Raw genomic sequence first — 25,940 nt, forward strand, 5'->3', positions numbered from 1 at the left:
TGCCCACCAGTAGGAGAGGACACTCTCCCTCATGGGTTGGTAATAAAATCCCATGCACAGGCAGTATTTGGTGGCATCTCTTATACACCAGAACACACCCCTTCCGGCTTTCTCTAAGCCTAGGAATACTGGGGAGCCACCTAGAGAGAGTTCTCAGCCCAAGGCTTCCAGGATGGACTCATAAAATACCTCAGCATGCAGGAACCCAGGACAGAGACTGTTCATCTTCAGCTTTGTAGCCTGGCACCTAGCACATGCCTGGCCCAGGGTTCAAAAGGCAACAAACCGTTCAATTACCATGATCACTAAGCACCCACAATGTAAGATGCTGTGTAAAAGGTGGTGGCCATGGTGGGACAGGAACAAAGAAGGAGAAGGTGCAGTCCCTTTAGGATATGGAATCCAACCTCCTACCACCTGCATCTACCACCTGCCCTTGCCTATGACCCATCTGTGGACTGAGGGGTGAGATGTACCATGTACTTGTACAGGCAAGGGTTCATAGCAACCTTGGTTCACAGAATCACAGCACTTTTGGATCTTGAACACACGTGTGTTTGCTTGAGTCATCTGCATCCTAGCTCCACCGCAGGCACTGAGGATAGACCCTGTCCATCCCACGTTCCCTCCTGACAACCAAGGGTGCTTCTACATGCAAAAAGTGACAAGAAGAGTGGAGCAAACATGGCAGCTTCCTTATTCGAATAGCCCAGGCCAAAGACTGCTCCAAAGGCCATTTTAGGAAGAAGATTTAATTACCTTAAAACCCTGTGTTTTGCTTTGCATTTTCAGGTATAACCCAGCCAAACGGATTCCAATCTGAGGCCAAGGTCAACTTAGAGACAACAGACTGTCTACTTCTTCATGTGCAGTGAGGGCAAGGTCCCAACTGCAGTGGGGCCAGCCCAGGCAGTGACTAGAGATACCATCAGCTTGTCTCAGTATCCTTTGTGTCTGAAGAACTATCAGCAGGCAATAGAGCCCTTCCAGTGGTCCCCACAGCCTTCCAAATAAAGCCCAACCTTAATGCAGCATGGAAGCTTTCCATGTGTTGTCCCTGCCCGCAGCTATGAATTCCTGGGCTGCGATGCGCCCTCTGTGCCCCATATCCGACCTGGGCTGCCAGCCCACACCCAGCCACAGCAGGGGCTCCCTCTCCTGTGTCCTCCCCTAAGCCTACTCCCATCTGGTGCCTACTCCTCATTTTCAGCTTTGCAGACCCAGTTGAGAGGAGGGTGAAGCCATCAGCCTAGATCACCTGGCCAACATTCTCTAAGGCAGCAGGGAATGGTAAGCCCAGACCAGCAGCAGCAGCACTGGGAATGCTTTAGAAATGCAAATTCTCAGGCCTCACCCTAGACCTCATGAATAGAAAACAAATCCCAACACAGGCAAAAGCTGGAGATCCACGGCCCCAGAGCAAAGGCGCCTCTGAGAAGTCCCTGAGCCCACCCTTCCCCACGAGGCTGGGCTGGCACAGCACCGGTGACTGTCCCTGCATGTGCGCTCTGTGGGCACAGGCGCCTCCCTCATCTCTGGCCCTCGGGGCCCTACAGAGCACCTGGAAGTCTGGTCCTACTGAACCAGTGAACAAACCAATCTCCAGCAATGACAAAACACCAGCTGGTCCAATAGGAAAAAAGCAAATGTTCTCAAGCCATAATACTGTATTTGTAGCTAAACATGTTTGAGCTTGAATTTTTGAGTGTGAAAGATTTTGTCTTATTTCCATTCGATTTTGTCCATTCGATTTTGCCTTATTTCCACTGAAAGGTTTCCTGGGACAGTGTCAAGCTCCTTTGCTGGAGTGAACGTTCTTGGAGAGGTGGCATTCCCTCTCCAAGCTGTTAGATGAAGCCAGCTAACTCTCCAATAGGAATTCCGACTGCTGGGTGCTTCCCGGGACCTGAAACTTCCAGCTTGCCGGCTTTTCCGATTCTAAGGGTTAGCCCAGGGACACTGTCATTGTCATCATTTAGTTCTCCCTGTGGCAAATGATTACATATCAGAAAGAGCAGAGGGGGGCTGCCCCTGAGATGGCCCACATCAAGGCACCAGCCAGCATTCTAAGCACCAGAGGTTGCCCTGTGGCACTCTCCCCAAGCCCCTACTTGGTAAGAGAAAAGCTCCACTGAACCCTTCTGGACACAAAGGGTTTTTACACAGCAGCCCAGAGTTCTGCCTGACTGAGCTGAATATGATGGTGAAATCCTTTGGCATGCTAGAAAAGAGAGGAACCATCTACAAAGGAGCTGTCAGGAGGGCATCTCTCAGAGCAAGAAACCAAGCTGGGCTCAGTGCTCCAGCCTGCCAAGCAGCCCCGGAGCGACCGCACAGCTGACGGTAGATGCTCCAAGGTTCTCTAATTACTCAACCCATTTCCACCTGGAGGGGCTCCAGCGCTTGGCTGGGGCAGACATCCCACAGCCTCAGCATCCTGACCCACTGTGGCTAAACGAGCTGGGCGCAAGGCAGGCGCACACCCCAGACTGTCTTGGTTCAACGAGACCTCAGGAGCGCTGGTGCACACACAAGTCTTCCAGCCCAAGATTACTCTGGTCCATCTAGCACAGCAGTTCTCAAAGCGAGGTCTAGGGATCCTGGCAGTCTCAGGGAACCTCGTAGGGGGTCAGTGAGACCATAACTATTTTCTTAGTCATACTAAGACCTTAATGACTTTTCTCTCTCTCTCTCCCAGCCACCTTCCAGCCAGATGCTAAATTTGTAAAAATGTAAAAACAATGCCACACTTCTCCCTAATTTTTTTTTTTTTGGAAAATATAGTGATTGTTAATAAAAGTATGTTCTGTTATTTATGGTAACATGTAATGAGCTGCTCGATGTTATTTTTAAATGAAGTAATAAATATGTAAACCTCTTTTCACCTGCAATCCAGTGTGGTAAGTACCTATAGATTTAGCCCACATAAACAAAAGCCCATTGAGATCCTCAGTAATTTTCTAAGAGCATAAAGGAGTCCAGAAACCAAAAAGTTTGAAACCCGCGGTTTTAATGATAAATGAACTATGTTTGCCAAAGAGCACTTAAGCCCTATCTTGACAAGATCCAAAGGTCCCTTACTTTAAAATTTTTGTTTTAACATAAATAAGAAGTAAAGTCACCACCGGTATCCAATTCCACTCTCCCTGGGTGTCTCTGGAAGTTCTGTGGGTGGTTTACAAGACAGGCACATTGTGTACAGAAATGGGCAGTGCGGCATTCGGCAACATGAGCTCCGCAGCCCCACAGACCCTCTGGGTTCCTTGACTATGGAGTGGGACAGCAGAGAGGGGCTGCACCTGCTGCATAATTCATTGCCTTTGGTTCCAGCGGCACCACTTGGGTGATGTGGAAGTTGTTCAAGATCTCACCTCCTCATCCAGTGACAGGGAGGGTAACGACAGCTCCCACTTCCAAGGTTGCTGCAAAGAGCTCAGCCCAGGGCCTGGCACAAAGTAAATGCCAAGTACGTGTTGCTCGCCTCATCATCACCCGCACCACCGTCACCGCCATCCACTCGTTCCTACAACCATGTCCCCGGCTCTGTGCATTCTAAGCTCCCTGAGTCCTATATGACGAGCAACTCTGCCCCCGGGTGTGGCTTTGCTTCCTAAGGGGAAGATGGGGTGATTCACAACATGGAAACATCCAGAGGGAGGGGGCCATGGATTCAGTCTCACTGAGTCAGTGGCTGCCCTTTGCTGGATCCCTCACATCACTGACTCAGACATAAGCACCTCTGAGAGCCCCTTATTCACAGTTACTCCAGGTCACAGAAGAAGCACGTGGCCAAGAGGCTGCCAGAGGGCTCCCACTGCCTATTCAGTCCAGACAATAGTGAATCTCCCCACTCTGTGCCCAGCAGTCTCAGAGCCAGCTCTGCTCACATCTTACTGTGTATCTGTGTGCCAATAATTGTATATTCTTGACAAAAATGTTCTTGAGATGACACATGCTCCAAACACCTCTAGACTCTGCCTCCGCCTCCGCCCCTCCGTTTTCCCTAATGGTACAAAGGCTGAAAGAGGATGACTATCAAGCTTAGCCATGTGGCATTTCCACATGACGTTTAGTGCTGTGGGTGCAGAGAAGTGTAGAGTAATGGGAATCTGCCCCCTCACAAATCCTACTTTAATTTTTATTTTTAATTTTTTTAGAGAGAGGGTCTTGCTGTGTAGTCCAGGCTGGACTTGAACTCCTGGACACAAGTGATCCTCCCACCTCTCAGCCTCCTGAGCAGCTGAGACTACAGGCACATACCACCACACCAGCTCACAAGTTCTACTTCAAAGATCTCTCTCTGTTCTGGGGGGTATCACATTTAAAATCTTAAGCTTTGTCCTCCCTGATAAAAACTGGTTGGAAAAGTGAAAGAGAAAGAAGGACATATTTATTGAGAATTTTCTGGGTTAGATGGCAGGCACATGCTGAGGTACTTGCACAAAAATATCTCATTTAGTCCTCACTGCATCCCTGTGAAGATGGAGTCATTATCTCCATTTATGGATGGGAAACTGAGGCCTCCAGTGGCTGGTGTCATAAGAACTAACAAAACCATAATGCAAGCCCAGGTCTGCCTAACTCGCAAACGCTTACACTGACAACTACTGGGGAAGGGAAAACAATCCCAAGACTCCAGCATGGTATGGTACTTTTTCACATTGATGGTTCTTTTAAATTCTTGTTTTTCTTGGATGCAAAATTTCCTGCATAATTAATTGCCTTTGGAAATGACGAGCAATTTCCCATTCACTGAGTTGGAAATGCCCTGTAGAAATGTAAATGCCAATGTGACTGCAGGATCCTCACTTGGGGTAATGCCTGGGATGGGTGTGGGGGAGTGTGGAGTCTCCCTGGGTGGAGCAGGACTCTAAGCCTGGCTGTGAGACCCAGGCCCACACTGGCCTGGGAGGTGGGGAGGCCGAGGGAAGAGGTGACTGCCAGAGGACCCTCCTGGCAGCATGGAAGAGGGTCCTGGCAGGTTCCCAGAGTCAGGTTCCTGGGGTGAGATGAGCCCATGCATGGGAGGAGGTTCTCTGATGTCGCACTTCCCTTCCCAGCCCAGCCCAGCCCTGCCCTGCCCTCCAGGGAGCCCTCCTTAAGTCACTGAATGCTAATTAAACACAGGACATGCTCCTCTCCTTAAATACAGCCAGCCTGTAACTAAGGGGACAGATTTCCCCACGCGAAGATGAGACTGCTCTGGGTCACAGGCTATTGACGTCTTCCTTCTCCCCATTCTTTTGCACCCCATTTGTTGCTCCGTGGATGAAACATCTTTGAAAACAGCTGTAGGAAACGGAAACACCCCCTTCCCTGGGAATTAGAAAAAAAAATGATCATGAAATTTATCCAGTTGGGTTAGTTCAGGCCTGGGCTTGAGGGGCTTGCAGCTGGTGTAGTATGCCTGTGCACTTCACGAGTGCTAGCAGGAGGTGGCTGGTGGACAGAGCAGAAGGGTTCTCTTTGAAGAGAGACAAGCTGCACAGAGCAGTAGAGGAGATCAGCTGAGGTCTCCCTCAGCCACCTGCAGTTGAACAAGGTGGTCTGAAGTCCAGGGACCCATAGACCCCCTTTGAGTACCCCCGCCCACCTCCTCTTCTTCACGTCTGGTAAAGATCCAGAGGTCTTGCTTCCATCACACCTTTCACCAGCACTGTACTCTCTCTCTCTCTTTTTTCTTTTTTGAGATTGAGTTTCACGCTTGTTGCCCAGGCTGGAGGGCAATGGTGCGATCTCCACTCACTGCAGCCTCCACCTCCCAGGTTCAAGCGATTCTCCTACCTCAGCCTCTGGAGTAGTTGGGATTACAGGTGCAGCAATGTACTCTCAAGATGCAATCCACAAAATGGAGGGCTTCCTGATGATTAACATAATGGCCACAAGCCAGGGAGAAGGCAGGAAGGTGAAACACCTGGATGACCCCAAACTGGTGACACCATGGATTATTTAGAGCTGGTTGTTGCTCTGCGACAGCAAAGAATTCATCTGCTCTGTGAGACACAGCCAGATCCCTGATGTCCACTGCCTTCAGGTAGGTGAGGGTTGAGGACACTGACTGCCAGTGATGGTTCAGCAGGGAGTTAAGGAATCCAAATCAGGTGAGTGTGCATGCCTGGGAGGGGGTGCACCACCCACACATGCAGGACCCTCACTGTCCAGCAGATTGTGCCCAATAAATATGCCTGGACTGAATAATTGAGCTAATAATATTAATAGTAAAGCCAGCGTGGCCTGGAAGGGTATTTTTTTCCTATTTGTAGAAACGACTCTTTTGAAATCAGTAAGCTGTCACAGAGAAAGCACTCTATTATAAGCAACGAGTGTTCAAAAGGAAATTTGATAAAGAACTTAATGAGCTTGTATTACCTGAGTAGCTTTTGTTTTATTTTTTAAACGATGCTAAGAGGCTCTTATGGACATGATGGTCTACCTCTCTTTAAAAACTGTCTTTAACACTGATGCTGTCTTAGTTGCTGAGCCATAAAGAGTGTCTGGATTCAGAGGCTGGCCAGAATTATCATTCTGGCTGTCTGGAACTAAAGGTAGTAAAGGCTGAACGGTGTAAGAACATTGTATTCCTATCATGAAAGACAGTCATCTGGAAATAGTGACAGAAACCAGGTTTCAGAGTTAGGAAGACTGAGCTGATTCCTACGTCCTCTGTGTGGAAGCAGGGTGACCCTTGGGCTGGCCACTCCACTGATCATCCCCTTGCAGGGTGGCTGGTCTGATGAGAGATCACGTTTGTGTGGGTGTACCTCAGCAGTGATCATCATCAGCACCCAGTGAATGCGTTGTTGTTGTTTTGTTTTCTTTTTTTACTTCCTATGCCTTCCTCAAACCCACAGTCCTGGGCCTTTGTCTTGTGACTCTCTTCCATGCCAGTCATTGGCCAGTCCAGCTCAGATGGCAGCTTCTCCAGGAAGCCTTGCTAACAGCCACTCTAAGCTGGCTGTTCTCACCTCCCATAGCACTTTGTCCCTTCCTGCCAGAGACTGCCACACCATGCTGTCATGACTGTGTGTGTGCTTGCCTTCCTCTCTGCACTGTAGGTGAAATATCAGGTTGTTATTCCTGGCACAGTAAGTGCAGGCCAGATGGATGGATGGGTGGGTGGGTGGGTGGGTGTGTGGATGGATGGATGGATGGATGGATGGATGGATGGATGGATGGGTGGATGGGTGGATGGATAGATAAATGGATGAGTGGATGGATTAATGGATGGATAGATGGTGGGATGGGGGATGGAAGTAGAGATAGATTGATGGAGAGAGGAACAAAGGTATGAATAGATGGATGATGGACAGATGGATGAATGGAAAACTGAATGGATAAATGGAAGGAGAGAGAAATGGGCGGAGAAACAGATGGACGGATATACTTCCTATGTACTAAATTGTGTCCCTCTGAGTTCTCCTCTGTTCTCTGAGTGATTGACACCAATGACCATCTCCCTTTTCTTCCTAAGACTCTGTTCCCCTTTGGCTTTTCAAGGCCCTTTGCTGGGTTCTCCAACTCTCCAACTTCTAAGTCCTCTTCAGACACCTCCACCACACACCTGGTGCTCCCGAGATTCAGCCTTTGGTCCATTTCTCTTCTCACCCACTTTCTCTAGAGGAACAAATCTTACCAAGCATCTTTAACAACAACCTCTATGTGAATGATTGTAACCCCACCCCTATATCCCAGCCCCTTCTCTGAGATTTAGTCATGTTTTAAATGTATTCATTCAGTAAAGATTTAGTCAGTACCCTCCATGGTGTCCAGTGGGTCTCCCAAATTCCTGTCCTGTTCTTGTGGGACTCTGCGCTCATCGCTTCTCATGGGTCAACTGCAAGAGCTTCCTAACTTGATCGCAGCCACTATCTCTACCACTCCAACTCTGCCTCCATGTTGCTCCCACCTGGGAGCTCTCTGATGCTCTCCTAAACCTTTGATGGATAAAATCCAGCACCCCTCTGACACAGGAGGCCCCAATATCTTGCCTTTCTATGGCACCGAGTTTTCTTCCTCTGACGCCATGACAGTCCCCAAGGCCCCTTCTTCCCACCTCAACCACTGTGTCCCCTCCAAACTAAGCTCCCCTTCTTCTGCTTCACTTCCCTGCTCCTTGTCCACCAAGGCCTGATCTGAACATGGCTCCTGAGACCCTCTGCTGTGACACTGCTTCCCCAAAGAAATACAGGCTCTCTGTTTGGGCCTCCTAGGTGGATTCCATTCCATTCCTTTTCCATCCGCATTCACACTCGAAGACGATAAAAGATGGTCTGGTGCCATGAGTCCATCTGTCCACAATGATCAACACAATATGCAAATGCAAAGACAAGGAGTCCCTGCTTTTTTCTCTCTCTGAGCCAAGAGTGGAAAAAGTGATTGGTAGGACTTGGGCAGGTGAAGAAAGACGTGCTGAGGAAAACGAGGCAGAGACCCTGAGCTTGGGCAGATGCAGGGAGGGGACCAGCTGGAGAGAGGGAGAACAGGGAGTAAAACTAGACAGGGACAGGCTCCAGCAGGGGCAGACAAATGGCTTCACACCCACCTCTGCCAACAGAGAGATAATGAATGAGAGAGAAGGCAGGTCATAGCTGGGCAGGTCATAGCTGGCTCCTGCCTGGTCCAGGGCTCAGGTTACCTCTGAGAGCCCGAGCTGATAGAGCTCTGCTGCTGCTGAGTGGAGCTGAAGGGCCACACATGCACATCAGGAGGTGGCGCAGGCAGAAGGGGCACTCTGGAAGAGCCAGCAGGAAGGTGCCCCTCCCCATGGGATGGAGTCAAAGAACACCAGGGTGGGCAGCAGCAGATGTCAGAGAACCTGCTTGCCCTTCTCTCAGGGTCTTGATGAATCTGCTGTAGGCACATAGGAGTCCAGCGGCCCCCAGAGCAGACAGGGTAGCAGGCAGCTCGTGCAGGTGGGGCATATTAAAAACGAGCCATTCAGCACTCCGAATGCATTGCTAAAGACACCCATGTAATCATTTGAAATGAAAACTGCTCAAATGAACTGGAAAATGTTTTACTTGTATTTTCTCATATTCTAGAAACTTTCTTTCCATGGTTCAAAAGTTTGCATTGTCTAATTGCTGATTTCCATTTGTGAATGAATCAGCGTAAAATAAAATTAAGTGCCAAATTAATCTACCCATCTAGTTTTAGGCATTAATTATCCTCTGAGCCATTTTCTCCTGCGCTTGCTGCATGTCAAGGCAAGCCCGGATATAGTGATGTGGGATCCAGTTTTTGACTCAGGAATTTAAGCCCAAACAGTAGAGGATGTCCTTGATCTCTAAGATCCACAGTTTATTGTGTGAAGGGGGTCTCATTCCAGGCAAACGAAACACATTTCTCACCTTTTAAAGGTGCACTAACACTGTCAGACCAAATAAATTATGGGAGCAGAAATTCGCTGCATGGTTTTATGACACGTTCCCCAGTTGCCTGATCGACCAACTAACAACATTACATTTCCTCTAAGTGTCACGGGGTCACCCCCAGTGTGGCAAATGTGGGGCTGACAAGGGCAGAATTTTGGAAATTGCATGTGCTGTTCTCCTGGAGCTGTGCCAAGGGAGGCCTTCTTGGTTCTGCTAAAAATCCCCCAGGCCTCCAAGATACAATGATAGGGTCCTTGATCCCTGGGGAATGGTAGAACCATATATGGTGATTTCATCAAAGCCACCACTCTTGGAGACTACGGGGACAGAGAGTTGGACACCAGGAAGAACAAGTGTATCATATCTCCAGCAGGGTCAAGAGAACCTTGGGGACTGAGGACATAGAGCCGCTGACCAATTTCCTTTTGAGGTTCAGCATTATCAGAATCTTTCTAAAAGGAGTGAGATACCCTTGACCCAGCACTGTTGGCAAAGAGGAATGCAAATGTAACATTCAATTTCCAACTCTTGGGAGGCTGAGGCAGGAGGATCACTCCAGGCCAGGAGCCCAAGAGCGGCCTGGGCAACATAGCAAGACCCTGTCTCTAAAAATAATTAATTAATTAATTAAAAGAAATTAGCCAGGCATGGTAGCATGCACCTGTAGTCCCAGCTACATGGGAGGCTGAGATGAGGGGATCGCTAGAGCCCAGGAGTTAGAGGCTACAGAGAGCCTCAACTGCAACACTGCACTCCAGCCTAGGTAACAGAATGAGACTCTGTCTCTAAAAAATAATAATTAAATAAAAGAAAAAAGAGAAGCATTCAATTCTACCTAGTAACATACTGCCAGAAAACGTAGAGCGTGGACTACTGGTGTTCAAGGTGGAGGGCTGGCCCTGATTGGAACCCCTTAGGATGTAGCTCCCCAGAGCAAAATGTCATGCTTTGGAAACAATGGCTGCATAGGTGAGTATAAACTAGGTGTTGTCACTCAGCCACCCAAGGATGCAGCAGCTCTGCTGCACGTGCTGAATGCCCCAGAAGGGCAAGGCCACTAAACCACCAAGCACACCCTGAGTTTTTTCTCAACAGCGACCCCATGTGGCAGCAGCTAAAGCTACCGGCAAGCGGGCGGCTTCGCAGGCTTGGGGGTCCCTCTTTGCTTGGCACTGGAAGCAGAAGGCGTTTTGGAGTCTACCTCTGTGGTTCTTCGATGGAAACATGAGGGAGCATGCCCAAGGGGAAGGTGCTGGACCGCCTGGTAATGAAGAATAGCTGAGGTACCTGAGCTGTTAATTAAAACAGTAAAGAGAGAGGAACATATTTGTGGCACCTGAGCCAGCGCTCAGACAGGAGGGAAAGTATAAGTTTAAATTACACAGATTTGCATCAGGCACAAAAGGTTATGCTTCCATTCGGCCCAAACCAGTCCTGACATCCTTCCAGGCACTAAGAAAAGCAACCAGAGGAAACCTGGCAGGGGAGGCACTGCTTCGGGGGAAGACTGTGAGGCTTTGAAATTCCATCACACCCTTCTAATAATACCTCTGCATTTGCTTTTCTGTAGACAAGCTTGGAGGCCCAAACAGTCAGGCTCTGACTCTCCCCAACTACCTCAAGGGGAAAGGAATCTGTCAGCTTCCCTAAAATGGAAAAGGAAAAAGGAAAACAAAGTCAAACGGAAAAGCTAATGTTGCTTCCCATCTGTTTGAAGGCATGAGGCGGAAGAGAGACAGGTTCTGTGCAGAGGCACTGTCGGACCCTGGGGAAGGAAACCTGTAGGCCCTGAGTTGGAAAATATTAAATTCAGGGAGCTTTTAATGAGCTTGAACAGCTCTTTGATGGTTGCTGATGTTAAGATGGAAATGGAGCATTTGAAAGTGTGAGCTTTCGAAGAATATGGTTTTTAGGAAGCAAGTTTCCCTCTTGCCATCCCTTCCCTTTGGGGCTATTCAAATGAGACCTCAAGTCATCACATCAGTGGTGAGGTTAGGGTTATAGCAACTGTAATGTGAGACCCAAAGAACCTCCAGCTCCAGCTAGTACCAGCTGCTACTCTGGGTAGAACAACAACGGCCTCACAGAGATGGATTGAGAAGGGATGGGATAAAAGGCATAAAATTAAAGACAAGAGTAATAAAATCTGATGGAAGCAAACACTGCTAGCCAACCTAGCAGCTCAAATTATATTTAGCACCTCTGAGAGGGAGGGGGTAATCATGAGTAATAAATCCAGGCTCTGGAAAGAAATTATGGGCTAAATCACTTGACAATGGGTAACACCAGGGAAGTCACGGATTCACCTTCCCAGGAAAGGCTCAAGACAGTGTATAAAACCCATCAATCACACTGAGACAAATTTCACTGGGTAGGGCCCCAGGACAGTCTAGATCTGGATTCCTAAACAGCCTCTGAGCTTCTCCCAGAGCCAGAAACGTGGCAGCAGCACAGACACGCCACTAGTCCCACCATCCAGCCCAGGGATCCTTCACCCCACTGCATGGTGGCTGCTGTCCACTCCAGGAAGATCGGGCAAAGTCAATACATAGACAAGGGCTGTCTGCTTCCTGTTGTACATTTCTGTGCCGTCAGCTGAGTCCACTCCCTGCTATCAGGGATGTCACAAACAGTTCCTGAAACTTGTTCCTTCCTCAGCCTGAGGCCCTAGACATCACCTAAACCATCCTGTTATCTGCAGGTTCCTCCCATCGCCTCCCCCAGAGCCCTCTAAGTTCTCAACTCCCAGCTATTCTCACTACAGCTTAGCAGGAAAGCAATTTGATCTAATGAATTCTCACCAACCCTCAAAGGATACTCTCTTTTTAGAAGAACAAGCCAGAGAATGCAAATTATCTGCTCAATATGGGCTTTCTCAATATGTGTGGGGGAGGTCTCAGACCTTCTCTGGCCATCTTGTGTAAGATAAACCTGGGAGAACAGGAAGGAAAGGCTCCATCACCACCACCTCTCCCACCTCCCAGCCATCGTTCAATAGATGGAAGACTCATCCACAGCTCCATTTCTACCCCATACAGCTTCCCATCTTGAGGCAGGAACAAAAGCCCAGGTCTCCTGGCTTGGACCCATCAGTGGACAAGATCACATCTTATTATAGAGACAGGGAGGAGCTGTCTGGCATTAAGCCAAGTAAGACCCTAGAAATCCAGTCCTACTCCCAGAATGGGGATCCCTTCTGCTTAGAGACTACAGGGGGCCAGGAATTGGAGTTTCACATCCAGAGATCTTCAGGATCTCTGCTCCATCCCATCGCTGGACCCCGAGCAAAGCTCCCTACAGCTTCTTGGCTGCATTCATTTTATTCATCTTCAGCAGAGGGTGCTTCGACACCCTAATTGATTGGCTTCCCCAGGTTCCTGGCTTGCTGAGGCTCTGCCTCTTTCTCAGGACCCTTCTGGCACACCCATCCCTGCTCCTAGCCCACAGCTAAGAGGGCCTCAATGAAACAGGGGCTTGGAAGTGAGGAAGGGTCCTTGTATTGCATTGCTGGAACACCTGTTTCTTCCCAAGATGCAAACTCAGTTCATAAGACGCTTGGTCATCCGAGTCCTTCCTCATACAGCAGGTCACTTGCTTCCAACTTTTTTTAGAAAGGAGGAGAAACATTACTCCCAAAAAGTCTTCAGCATGAGAGGGTTATACAGATGACAAGGACTTACAGTTTTCTTTGGTCATTATTACAGCTGGTTTAAGGAAAGAGTGGGTTCCCATTCTACCAGAATAAAACTTAAGTTGAACAGAAACTCAGAATCTTCAACATCACAGACATTATTTTTTCTGCTCTTGGCTTTTTAGAAACGGGGAACCAATAGGAAACAAGTACATGGTCATAAACCCATCTGCTTGTCCACTGGCTTAGCATATATTGAGGGCTTCTACCTGGGGACAAAGTACAGCTGTTTTTCAATATGATACCCCAAATCTACCTGCTTCGATCAGCAATTGAATTCAACACTAAGTTCTGGGAAGGACACACATGAAATGGTTAACAGTGACTGCCTGAAGCTTGGGGGTGAATGGGAGCAGAGTGAAGGGTAACTTTATCTTTTCACTCTACCTACGTCTATATTGCTGTTTGTGGTTTATGTTTGTTGGTTTGTTTGTTTTGAGACAGGGTCTCACTCACCCAGGCTGTAGGTCAGTGGCATGATCTCTGCTCACTGCAACCTTCACTTCCCAGGTTCAAGCAATTCTCCTGCCTCAGCCTCCTGAGTAGCTGGGACCAAAGGCATGCACTACCACGCCTGGCTATTGTTTGTATTTTTAGTAGAGGCAGGGTTTCACCATGTTGGCCAGGCAGGTCTCGAACTCCCGACCTCAAGCGATCTGCCTGCCTCAGCCTCCCAAAGCGTTGGGATTACAGGTGTGAGCCACCGCGCCAGGCCTGTGGTTTTTCTTTTCTTCTTCTTCTTCTTCTTTTTTTTTTTAAGACAGATTTTCACTCTTGTCGCCCAGGCTGGAGTGCAGTGGTGCCATCTCGCCTCACTGCAACCTCCACCTCCCAGGTTCAAGCGATTCTCCTGTCTCAGCCTCCTAAGTAGCTGGGATTACAGGCGCCTGCCACCATGCCCGGCTAATTTTTTGTATTTTTACTAGAGATGGGGTTTTGCCATGTTGGCCAGGCTGGTCTCAAACTCCTGACCTCAGGTGATCCACCCGCCTCAGCCTCCCAAAATGCTGAGATTTCAGGCGTGAGCCACCACACCCGGCCAGTTTTTTCTTTTTTAAACACAGAAAATGTATTCATGGACTCCTTCAGATATCAAAGTAAATTCAGAAATGGCCAAAAAGCAAAAAGAAGTGAATGCTTTCAACAACATCATCCAGGCTCAGCAGGTTTCTGGTGGAGGCTGAGATCTGGGAGATGAGCTAAGTGGGAAGGTGACCTCTTCACAGCGACAGAACAGTCCAGAACAGACCCAGGCATTCAAAGTTCTCCCCAAGGCTGGACACTGCTCAGTCCCTCTCACTGGTCTCTTCCAAGTTTCTGCCCCTGAAGGTCAAAAGCCTCCAAAGCTCCAGCCAGCTCCTCTCGACTTAATCACTGGCAGCCCTCAGGACTTGAGCAGCAGGTGTGTGCCTTAAGGTCACCTCACCCCAGGTGACCCTCTCACCTGAGAGGTATCCAGGAAAGGCAGTGGTATTTTACCTCATTCCAGCATCCCTCAAAGCATTCTCAGGTTAAAGATGGGAACTTTCCCCAGCAGGGAGGCCTGAATAGCTTCTGAAGAACCCCGTGGCAGACACAGAGGTCAGATTTTTGCCAATCCATTCAAATGGACTGGGCTCCCCTCCCTCCTCTACCTTGGTAGAAGCACAGAAAAGGGAGCTTGGCAGCCGAAGCAGCCGCCAAGACTTTCCCTGTCACCTCATTAATCACCAGCTGCCAGTGCCCACTTACCTGCAGATGTAATTCGTCTTGCAGGAGTCCTGCAAATTCAAACAGTTGGGCTTCTCCCTCTCTTCATAGGAGCACACAGGCACGATGGTCTGTCGCCTCCGCTCTGTGCAGGCGATGTCCCGGCAGGAGCAGAAGAGCATTCCGTAGCTGTGCTTGGCCGGGACCTTGTCAAAGAACTGCCGGAGGGCCTTGTGGCACTTGCGGCGGTTGCAGACATCGTTGGACACGCTGGTGGTGCACGGGGTGATGTACGCCGACCTGTACTTCTTGCAAATGTCGTCGAGGTTGCAGGCCTTCGCTGCATCCAGGCAGTTGTTCCCTTTGGGAATGTGCTCCACTGCAAATGCAGAGAAAGACAGGCATGGTCACAGTGCTCGGCTCTGTGTTCTCACCTACTCTGTTTTAATTGAGATCCTGCCATTTATCTGGCATTGCCAGCGGCTCTAGAACTTAATGAGTTTTGAAGCTAATAACTTAATGACTTCATGACAAGAGAAAGTGCTAGGAGTACAAATACCAGGAGTCTACGGCAGCACAAAAGCCCCTAATATTCCCACAGATGTAGAATTAGGAGGCGCTAGGTGAGGCCAAAACTCGGGCACCTGCCCCACTACATGCAAATGAGGCAACAGGAGAATAAGCTTCCAGCCCCTGGTTAGTAAACTGAAATTAGGATAAAAGAAAAAAACAACAAATTATATACTTGTTCATGATATGCTGAATGCAAGTATAATTGCCATACAATCCTCCAAGAATGTAATTATGTAATAAATGCATATAGTACATGCTAATTACTATATGATTACACAGTAATTACATGGTTATTTGAGCCCAGAAGACAAAATATTATGCCAGATTCTCTAAACAGGAAGAAGCCACCACAACGAAGCTGTATTTAAATTTTAGCTCGCAGGGCGTTGGAAGAAAACCAGGATAAATCACATAAAAATCTGCAAACCTCTCAATTACCACTTAACTCACCACAGACAACACGTGGGCTCTATGAGTACTGAGGTTCTAGATTAGAAAAATTCAGCTTGTATTTTGAATAGAATTTCAATGGGCTCCAGGAAGCTCACAGAGCATATGCTGCCTTCTGCCCAAGCCCTGTGCACTCATACCACCAGGGAAGCCAGTGCTGTCCACACTGCCTGCTCTGTGCTGTCCACACCGCCTGCCCTCTGCTGTCTGCAGCGAGAGCATGGTGGAGGCAGGGCCCACTCGGTGCCTGGGCAGGCAGGCCAAGGCCAAGCCCAACAGCAAGGTTAAAGGATGAATGGACAACAGGAATTCAGCCCTGTCCCCAATAGAGGAATGTTTCTGCAGGGAGAGGGAAGTGATGGAAAAAACCTTCCAGAAACAACATATAAGGTGGTCCATGGAGTAGTGATGATGAGGTGTAGTAGTGATTCTCTGGAGCGGGCAGGGAGGTGTTGGACAAGCACTGCACAGCTGTGGGATGAGACACCCCGGCAAGTTCCTCCTCAGGCCTTAGCCCCTTCATGGATTCTATGACCTCCTTTCATTCTGCTTATGTGCCCCCAGTTGATAGGGACCAGGAAGGCATTTAGGAAATGACAAAAGGCTAAAGAAGTGACAAGAGAGAAGGCACAGTTCGGTTAGGTAGGACTGAAAGATAGGGCAGTGCATTTGCTGCACGTCTAAAGGGCACACGGTATATTATTCAGCCTTAGAAAAAGAAGGAAATCCTACAATGCGTAACAACATGGATAAACCTCGAGGACATTATGCTACGTGAAATAAACCAGTCACAGGAGGACAAATACTGCCTGATTCCACGTATAGGAGGAATCTAAAATAGTCAAACTCAAAAGAAGCAGAGAGTGGAATGATGGTTGCCAGGGGCTGGAGAAGAAAATGAAAAAAAAAAAAATGGGGAGTTGCTCTTCAAAGGGAATAAAGTTTGAGTCATGCAAGATGAATAAGTTCTAGAGATCTGCTCTATAACACTGTGCCGATTGTTATCAATATTCTATTGTACACTTAAAACTTTGTTAAGAGGGTAGATTGCATGCAAAATGTTCTTGCTACGATTAAAAATATTGTACATAAATAGACAAAGGGCACACAAAGCAAGTCCAACATTTTAGGAAAAGAACAATTCTCCCTGTTCTACTGAAGATGCGTCTTGCTTTCAGAAAACCCATATGTAAATATCTGAAATCACACCATTATTCCCTGGCGCCATGAGTCATATTTTATTGTGCTCTAGGTTCATGTGTCTTCCTGTAACATCAGAGTCCAAGAAATTTGCTGTAGAAGGCAATAAGCAAGACAGGAGCCCTTCTTGGGTGTGGAGTACAGGAAGTTGGCAGCTGCACATCCATCCCGGCTTTAACAAGCACACCTGGTACTGTTTCTCCATCTCGCTCTTTCTATGCCTGCTCCTCTCTAGCTCCTCTATTTCCACACTCAGGCTTCTCAGGACTCAGGAGTGAAATAGTCGCCATGTGCCCTGAAAGGGCCACCAGGGCCTCTGGGCCTTGGTGACACTTCTAGCCTTCTCCTCTTTTGAGACTTCTAACATTTTGCTATTGAGCCCAGGGCAGTGATTTATATTCTTGAAAGTCAACAGTTCTCTAGATTTCTAAGTTATGCATTTTTGATGATAATCTAAAACAAATTAATATGACCATATTCTGGATCAGACTTTTAAGGCTGGGTACTGGTACACAATTTCACTACCTACACTTAACATTTGTATTGATGTTGAATGGCACTTTATAATCTCTGGCTAAAAGGGAAAGAACAGAGACACAGAGCTAGATTAATACTTCAAGGAAGTGGTCAGTGAGATAAGAACAAACAGTTCAAATGGAGAAAAATGCCTGAAGAATCGAGTCAATACATGGCACTCAGTAATACAGGCCTGCCAAACTCAAAAGGACCCATGGAGAAGCCGAGCACTACATTCAGACTGTAAGCACCAATTTAGTTTCAGCAAAATAATATTATCTCTTACACTCAATTAATGTTATTAGCCTGCATTTCATTGTTTTCAAAGTTCTGTTTGTATTTATGTGTGTTGTTTTCATAGTTGTGTAAAAGCCAAGAATAAGAGCTTACAGTTTTATGTTTATAAGTTTCAAATAACATCATAATAAAAATAACGAAAGTCAACACGTAACATCTAGGAAATTTATTTTTCTCTGTAAGGAGTCCACAAGCTTATACACAGGCTTAAAAAAAAATTGGCCTAGTGTGCCAGGTGCGGCGGCTCATGCCTGTAATCCCAGCACTCTGAGAGGCCGAGGTGGACCGATCACAAGGTCAGGAGATCGAGACCACCCTGACTAACACAGTGAAACCCCGTCTCTACTAAAAATACAAAAACATTAGCCAGGCTTGGTGGCGGGCGCCTGTAGTCCCAGCTACTCGGGAGGCTGAGGCAGGAGAATGGCGTGAACCTGGGAGGCAGAGCTTGCAGTGAGCCAAGACTGCGCCACTGCACTCCAGCCTGGGGGACTGAGTGAGACTCTGTCTCAAAAAAAAAAAAAAAAAAAAAAAAAATTGGCCTAGGTTATACCTTCTTTGTTATAATAATACCTTTTTAAAGTTGTTAAAACTACATATGCTGTTAAGGTTTTCCTCTTAATGTTATTAGAAAAGCAATATTTTTTTTAAAAAGGCTTTGTACAAAGTTGGAACAGGGTGAATCATTTTATGTCTAAACCAATTGCTCAAAGTTTACTTCATATAGCAGTAGGTGTGACTTAGCCTCACTTTCTACTGATTCTATTTTCATCTATATATAACTCTTGCCAGAGCACCATCTCCTTACATTATTTCAGAGCCTGTGACAAATTCTAGAATCCGCAACCTGGAATATTCAAAGGGGAAAAAACTATTAATTCATAGCTCACAGGTGAACATCTGACTTCCTTTTTATTTCAGATTCTCATTCACACAAAATATTTTTATAACCTTTCCGAACTTGACATTTGAGGTCAGCATTACCCAAATACCAGAACTGAACAAAGACAAAAGAAGAAAATAATAGACTGATATTGCTTACGAATACAGATGCAACAATATTCCCCAAACTTTAGTAAACTGTATTTAGCAATATCTTAAAAGGCTAATGCATCGTGACCAACTTGGGTTTATCTCAAGAATGCAAGGTTAGTTTAATATTTAAAAATATATGTAATTCACTGCACTAACAGAATACAGTAGGAAAACCATATATTTCATTAGATAAAGAAAAAGCATTCAATAAATTTCAATACTCATCCATGATAGAAAAAAGTTCAGCAAATTAAGAATAGAAAAGAATCTCCTCAATCTGATACAGAGCAGCTATGAAAAACCTATAACTAAAGTCATATTTCATGGTCAAATACTAAGATCAAGAACAAAGGATTCCCCTTTTACTGCTTATAGTCAATGTTGTATTGGATGTCCTATACATCTCTAAAGAATCTACAAAACAACTACTAGAAATAATAAGTGAGTTTAGCAAAGTCACAGGGTACAAAGTTAATATACAAAAAGTAATTGTACTTTGAAAAATACATACTATTTTTATTGATACATAGTGTTTGTACACATTTATAAGGCATATGTGATTTTTCATTAATGCATAAAATGTGTAGTGATCAAGTCAGAGTATTTAGGATTTTTTTGAGTCTACAAGCTTCATTTTTAAGAGTTTTATTTGTAATTAGCAAATAATAATTATATATATTATGAAGTAAAATGTGATGCCTTGATATATGTTTAATGTTATGGAATGACGAAATCAAGCTAATTAACATAGCCATCACTTTCATATGTTAGCTGCAAAAAAATTAGAAAATGAAATTTTGAAAAATAATTTTATTTACAGCACGATCAATGAATAAAAAAAAAAAGCACTTAAAAGGAATATAACAAAAGACATGCAAGACCTCTACACTGAAAAATAAAAACACTGCTAATAAAAATTGAAGACCTGATAAATGGAAATATATACCATGTTCATGGATCAAAATACTCAATACTTTATGATTATTAAGGCTCAATATTATTAAAACTTAATAGCTTATATAGTTTTAACAACTTTAAAAAGACAACTAATATTATTACAACAAAGAAGGTATATACTAGGCCAATTTTTTAAACTCATATATAAGCTTATAGACAATTATCTCCAAATCATAAAATGTTTTGAAATTGTCAAGCAGATTCTAAAGCTTATATGGAAACGCAAAGGACACAGAATAACTAAAGCAACTGGAACAAGGAAAACAAAGTTGAAGGATTCACACTAACCTTTCTCAAGGTTTACTATAAAGCTTAAGTTATCAAGATAGTGTGGTACAGTATAGGCATAGACAAATTGAACAATGGAAAAGAAGAGAGAACTCATAAATATCCCACACATCTACAGTCACTTGATTTTTTTGAAAGCAACACTGAAGAAATCCAATGGGGGAAGAGAGTCTTTTCAACATATGGTACTAGAATAATTGGATAATAATTTTTAAAAAAGAAAAACCCAAATACAAACAAACAAAAAACCTCAATCCCTACTTCATACCATACACAAAAACTAATGTAATATGGATCACAGACTTAAACATAAAAGCTAAAATCATAAAGCTTTTAGAAGAAACATAAGATAATCTTGGAGCTAGACAAATATTTCTGAGACAAGACCACAGAAAGCAATAACCATAAAAGATAAAAAGTTGGTAAGGTAGAGTTCATCAAAATTAAAAACTTCTGGTCACAAAAGACACTGCTAAGAAAATGAATAGACAAACCACAGACTGGAGAAAATATTCACAAAACATACGTCTGACAAAGGACTGGTATCTAAAATATATTAAAAATGCCCAAATCTCAATATAAGAAAACAACCCAATTAAACATGGGCCAAATCTTTGAACAGACACTTCACAGAATAAGATAAATGAATGGCCAAGTAGCATCTGAAATGTGTTCAACATCATTAGTTATCAGAGAAATGCAAAATGAAACCACAATGAGATACACTCTACACTCACCACAATGGTTAAAATTTGACATCAAATGTTATTTAACAAAATGTGATGTTCCTAGAATTCTCATACATTGTTGGTGGGAATGGAAAATGGTTCAACCACTGTGGAAAAACATTCGGTAGCTTTTTATAAAACTAAACATACAATTACCCTATGGCCCAGAAATTCTACTTTTAGGTTTTTATCCAAGAGAACTTGAACATATGTCCACAAAAGACTTGAACAAGAATATTATACCAGCATATTGATAATAATCAAAACTGGAGACAGCCCATGTATCCATCAATAGGAAAATGGCTCAACAAACTGTGATCTATCCACAGTTATCCACGTGGACTGCTACTCAGAAATAAGAAGAGATGAACTGTTGATACACAAAATAGCATGGATGAATCTCAAAAAAATAAATAAAAGACTACACACAGAAGTACGCACAGTATGATTATATATATAGTTCGGGAATAGGCAAAACTAATTTATGATTTTTAAAATATTAAAAGACTGGCTGCTTCCAGGGAATGGGGGTGAGGATTGGCTAGGAAGGAATAAGAGATAACTTTCTGGGGGTGATGGTAATGTTCTCTACCTTGATAATGGCTTGTGTTGAACAGTTTGGGCCAAAACTCAGAGATAGTATGCTTAAGGTTTGTGCCTATGTAAACATTATCTCAAAAGGAAAAAAAAAAAAAAAAAAAAGGCCAGGCACAGTGGCTCATGCTTGTAATCCCAGCACTTTGGGAGGCTGACGTGGGAGGATTGCTTGAGACCAGAAGATCGAGACCAGCTTGAGCAATATAAGGAGGCACTGTCGCTACAAAAATATTTAAAAATCACCCAGGCATGGTGGCATGTGCCTGTAGTCCTAGCTACTCGGGAGGCTGAGGTGGGAGGATTACTTGAGCCCAGAAGGTCAAGGCTGCAGTGAGCCATGATCCACACCACTGCACTCCAGCCTGGGTGACAAGAGCGAAAGTGTGTCTCAAAGAACAAACAAACAAACAACAACAAAACACAAAAAGAAATAGCCTAAACAAATATTGAACACTGGTTAGTCATATGTGTGCTGAAGCGTTTAGGGGCAGTATATTCATAAATGAATTTTAAAAACTTAGAGGATGGACATATGGGCGCTCATACAGCACATTCAGATGTGAATATGGAATCCAGGTGCTGAGTATATATGCATTAACCATATTTTTTTTCCACTGTTCTGTATGTTCGAAAATGTTCATAATAAAATATTGGAAAAAATAAATTCATGCCTACCTTATTATTACTCTTTTCAAAAAGTTTCACATGGGCAATTGCGCACGGCACATGGGAAATCACTCTTGGCCCCTCCCCTCCTTTCGCCCGCTAACTTAGTCCCTCACAAATCCACCTCCAGCTCTCTCCGGGGCCCTGATACTGCGGATCCTACTGCAATGAAGTTAAAAATAAACACTGCTGAAATCACAGGATATATAAATTAGGGTTGAGTTTTCACCCGGTAAGAAGATTGATCCTCTATATCTATTGAATGGATCCCCCAGTGCACGAAAATACTACCTCAATGACTTGAGGGCACAGGGAGGAGAGGGGAGAATGATTCAATTTACACCCTTGGAGTCAAAGCCAGCCCTCCATCAGCTCACACACCGCACGGAGGATCAGGAGCCCGCCTGTGTTTTACGGTCTGGGCACAAGCGCCTTCTCGCCTGCGTGGGAAGGCTTCTGAACAGCTTTACTATAACTCTAACTGCCATCCTCTCCACAGCTCATTTTAGAGCTCAGCATTAAAATGTTGCTTTCCCCCCTCCCCTCCCCCTCTAATCTCTCCCTCCATCTGCTGTTATTCATTCTTTAACTTGGTAGAATGTCTGGGACGCTGTCTGAATGGGAAGTATTCTCAGAATGAACGCTGTTTACTAGAAATCCTTTTTTCTTGGGGGAGTGCATATGCGAGTGGGTTGTGCTCAGCTAATGTGCTCCTCTCCAGCCTCGGCTCTGTATTACCGAGAATGCCATTTAACCAGATTTTCACTTCAAATTCCACACAGCCATGTTGTCACTTTGCAGGTTACGTATTGCTTTCTTTACCATCATTCTAAGCCTCTCTGGCTGTGATCACATCTGGTGGTGACTTGTTTCTTGTTTTCTTGGCCATGGGAGGTATAACATTCATGGCAACCGAGGGTGAGATCCCAAAACCTAGGACAAAAAGGGTCAGGTGCTGCTGAAGGAGCCATGGATTAGGAGTGAGGAGCATCTGGGTTTTAAATGTGGTCCAATCATCTGAGCGTTTTCATACAAGTCAGCTTTCCCCCCATGGGCATCAGTTTCCCTATTTGTGAGATGATATATCTAAGGTCCCTTCAAGCCTTAAGGCTCTTTGATTTGATGGTTCTAATGTAATCTGCCTTTTCTGACTATAACGTCAAATATTTAGAATAAAATGTGGTGATGAGGGACAGAATGTAAAACCCCAGCCAGAGGGTCTATGCACTTGGAGGCGCTGGCCTCTCCGCGGTCTGCGGCTCCAAAGGAGTACATGGACCAATGATTTCAGCCCTGACCTGCAGGCAGAGCAAATGTAAAAGGTCCCTCCAACACAGCGAGATGTGGAAGTGTCAGGGATGAATTATGTCATGGGAGAAGCTTTCATATTCTAAATTCCTCTGGAGCAAGGAACTGCCTTTATCTCAAATACAATCCTCACACTGTCCCAAGTAAGAGGCTATCACTGTGGCCAGCAGCCCTGATTATTTACACTTAGAAAATGCCACCGTTATTGGCAAACACCAGGGCCAGCTAACCAGTTGAAACGATTCAGGATGAAACACAGATGCAAGCAACTAGAAATCTATTTCTATGGATTATGAGGTAGAATAAAACAGTAAATATATTAAAATCTGCATGGCCTGCAAGAGATATGATTTACGAAGCAAAAATTCACAAGACAATAAAAGAACGTTTGTTTGCACATGCTTGCCAATTTCTGGGTATCTTTCTGCCTTTCTTTTTAAGGCTGCAGAATTGAATTCACAACTTGTTTCCTCTTTTTCTTTCTGACTTGATTAATTACTATGTTAATATAACTACTGTTCTTCTTCTAATAGGCTCCCTCTAATGTGTTTTCCCAGAAAATTAAAAAATGGGTAAAAGATGCCAAATCTTCACAGGTGTAGGCAAACTTTTCTGCAAGCTCACAGTGACAGTCTGGGCTTCTGATATCCACACGGATCGTATGGCAAATTTGATCATACAGGTTGTGACCCTTGTAACTGATCCTTCAAGAGCTTGGCTTTTTCCAGCTAGGGTGCTAAAAATTACATTTAAAAAGCACATGTTGGCTGTTTGGAACCCATTTTGTCATTCGTACACTGTTTCAGACATATTGTATTACATGATGATGAAATTCCTCCTAGTTCTGTTTTTTCATACCTTACACAACTACATTAAGCTGCAAGCCATACCCAAGTTTTCTCTGGGGCTCACAGTGACTGAATTATTTTGAATACCTGTAAGTTTGGAAATAATTCTTTGGTCTGGTAAAGACAGTTCCCCTTGTTAACCACAAGTCATGGGCTAGCCTTATCCATTAGCGCTTCCATTTCCTTAACGCACATTCTGTCGCTTGCCTGCACCCTCTGCTGTGCAAACCTTAAAAAATTGGATATCTCCTGTAAGTGGTGTGCAAGTCACATGCTTGCTGCTGCGCAATGATTAATAGTGCTGTCCCAGAAAATGGGATCATTACATTTTTAATTAACCTTTCCAACCTCCTCCACCTTTTCCTTTTGTTATACATTGGATCTCTGAAGTTTTCTACTTGTTTGTGTTCAACTAGCTTTGAAACAAAGGCATGAAAAATGGTTGCAGGTGATACAGGAGTTGATGCTTCAGGTGAGGCGCCTGGTAAGGTGTAGTGCCTCATTGTACATCAGATGGAGGGACAGGCATTTGGAACTTGGTGGCTGGGTTCCCACCTAATTTTTGTTTTGGCAGCTTAGCGTTATTTAATGGCCTTGGCTACCAGGAAACTGGCTTTTTAAAATCTCTTTCAACCTAATTATAATTACGGTGTATAAATCATACAATGATCAACTATAAAAATCTCGGGTTCATAAATATTTAACTTAGCATTTAAATCCACACTGCAGGAGTGCATGAAATTTCTCAGCCTGTCTCTTCGCAAACAACTGCTTTATTACAGTTCCATTGCCAATTACTGAAAACCGAATCAAGTTTGTCTTACCACACACTCAGGCACATATTTGAGCATAATGCCTTTCTGTGTATTAAGATGGCACAATTTAGTTATTTCTAAAATATGCATGTCTCCCATTAAAAAGATATTTGCAAAGACTTCTATCGCCATCTTTTAATTCCTCAAGTATAGAGAGGCACAATTATAATATTAGACATAAAAACACTCATTAAAATATATTTTATCTAATGTAAGATTGATTCCAAGATAATTGAGGTCAGATTTGTTTGGAAAATGTATTGTGACATGTGCAAATGGTGATGCAAAGAGGAAATGATCTTCTAGGAGGACTCAAGCAAAACAGCTAAATATTTTTCAGCAAAATCATAAAACCATAATTGGATTTCAATTTAGTAATAGTCAGTCTAAGACAGGCCATTTTTAATAATCTAATTATGTGTTCAGGGCCTACCCAGAACTCTACAACGGCTACAGAACTATTAATTGTACTCAATCCTGTTGCATCTTCAACCATGAAATTTGCTATTACATGTAGTACTGGCTCTCAGTTATGGATACTTTTTTTCCCCCCAATCTCAGATAATCTTTATAACATCCCAAAATGCCTATTTGTTTAATTTTCTAAAAGTGAAATCTTTTAATGACTTTCTCTGGACCAGAAAAAATATCTCAGATTTGTGGTCCTTCTACAGACAAAATTCACAATGAGATCTACAAACATTTCCCGTTTTTATGAAGGCACAGAGAGCAGCCCTTGCTTTTGTCTGATTTTCATTAATTAAAGGTATTTAATTGCTAACATCTCATTAGCAGTAAAATTAATGAGCACTTCAACTACAGGAAAAGATCTGCATGATAATATAAACCTAATTCATTTTATGGGGTACAAACTGTAGCTCCACTAATATTTAGCCTGTGCGAGCTCC

General features: G+C 44.6%; 1 protein-coding gene across 12 annotated transcripts in view, besides 1 other annotated feature; it reads right to left on the reverse strand.

The window, feature by feature from the left end:
- GFRA1 (GDNF family receptor alpha 1) overlaps positions 1-25,940 on the reverse strand; it is a 217,781-nt gene that overhangs the window by 53,500 nt on the left and 138,341 nt on the right. For all 12 annotated transcript variants that reach the window (NM_001382557.2, NM_001382556.2, NM_001145453.4 and 9 more), the window contains one exon: positions 14,797-15,133. In NM_001382557.2, the coding sequence (NP_001369486.1) occupies positions 14,797-15,133 (337 nt within the window). The remainder of the gene's footprint in view (positions 1-14,796; positions 15,134-25,940) is intronic.
- Positions 22,314-22,608: a silencer, noted in NCBI's record as "tiled region #9774; K562 Repressive non-DNase unmatched - State 24:Quies". NCBI's record gives its function as "represses a minimal TATA promoter and a strong SV40 promoter by Sharpr-MPRA in K562 cells {active_cell/tissue: K562}" and the evidence as "EXISTENCE:reporter gene assay evidence [ECO:0000049][PMID:27701403]".

The sequence above is a fragment of the Homo sapiens genome, chromosome 10, assembly GCF_000001405.40.
Source record: "Homo sapiens chromosome 10, GRCh38.p14 Primary Assembly".
Lineage (NCBI taxonomy): Eukaryota > Metazoa > Chordata > Mammalia > Primates > Hominidae > Homo > Homo sapiens.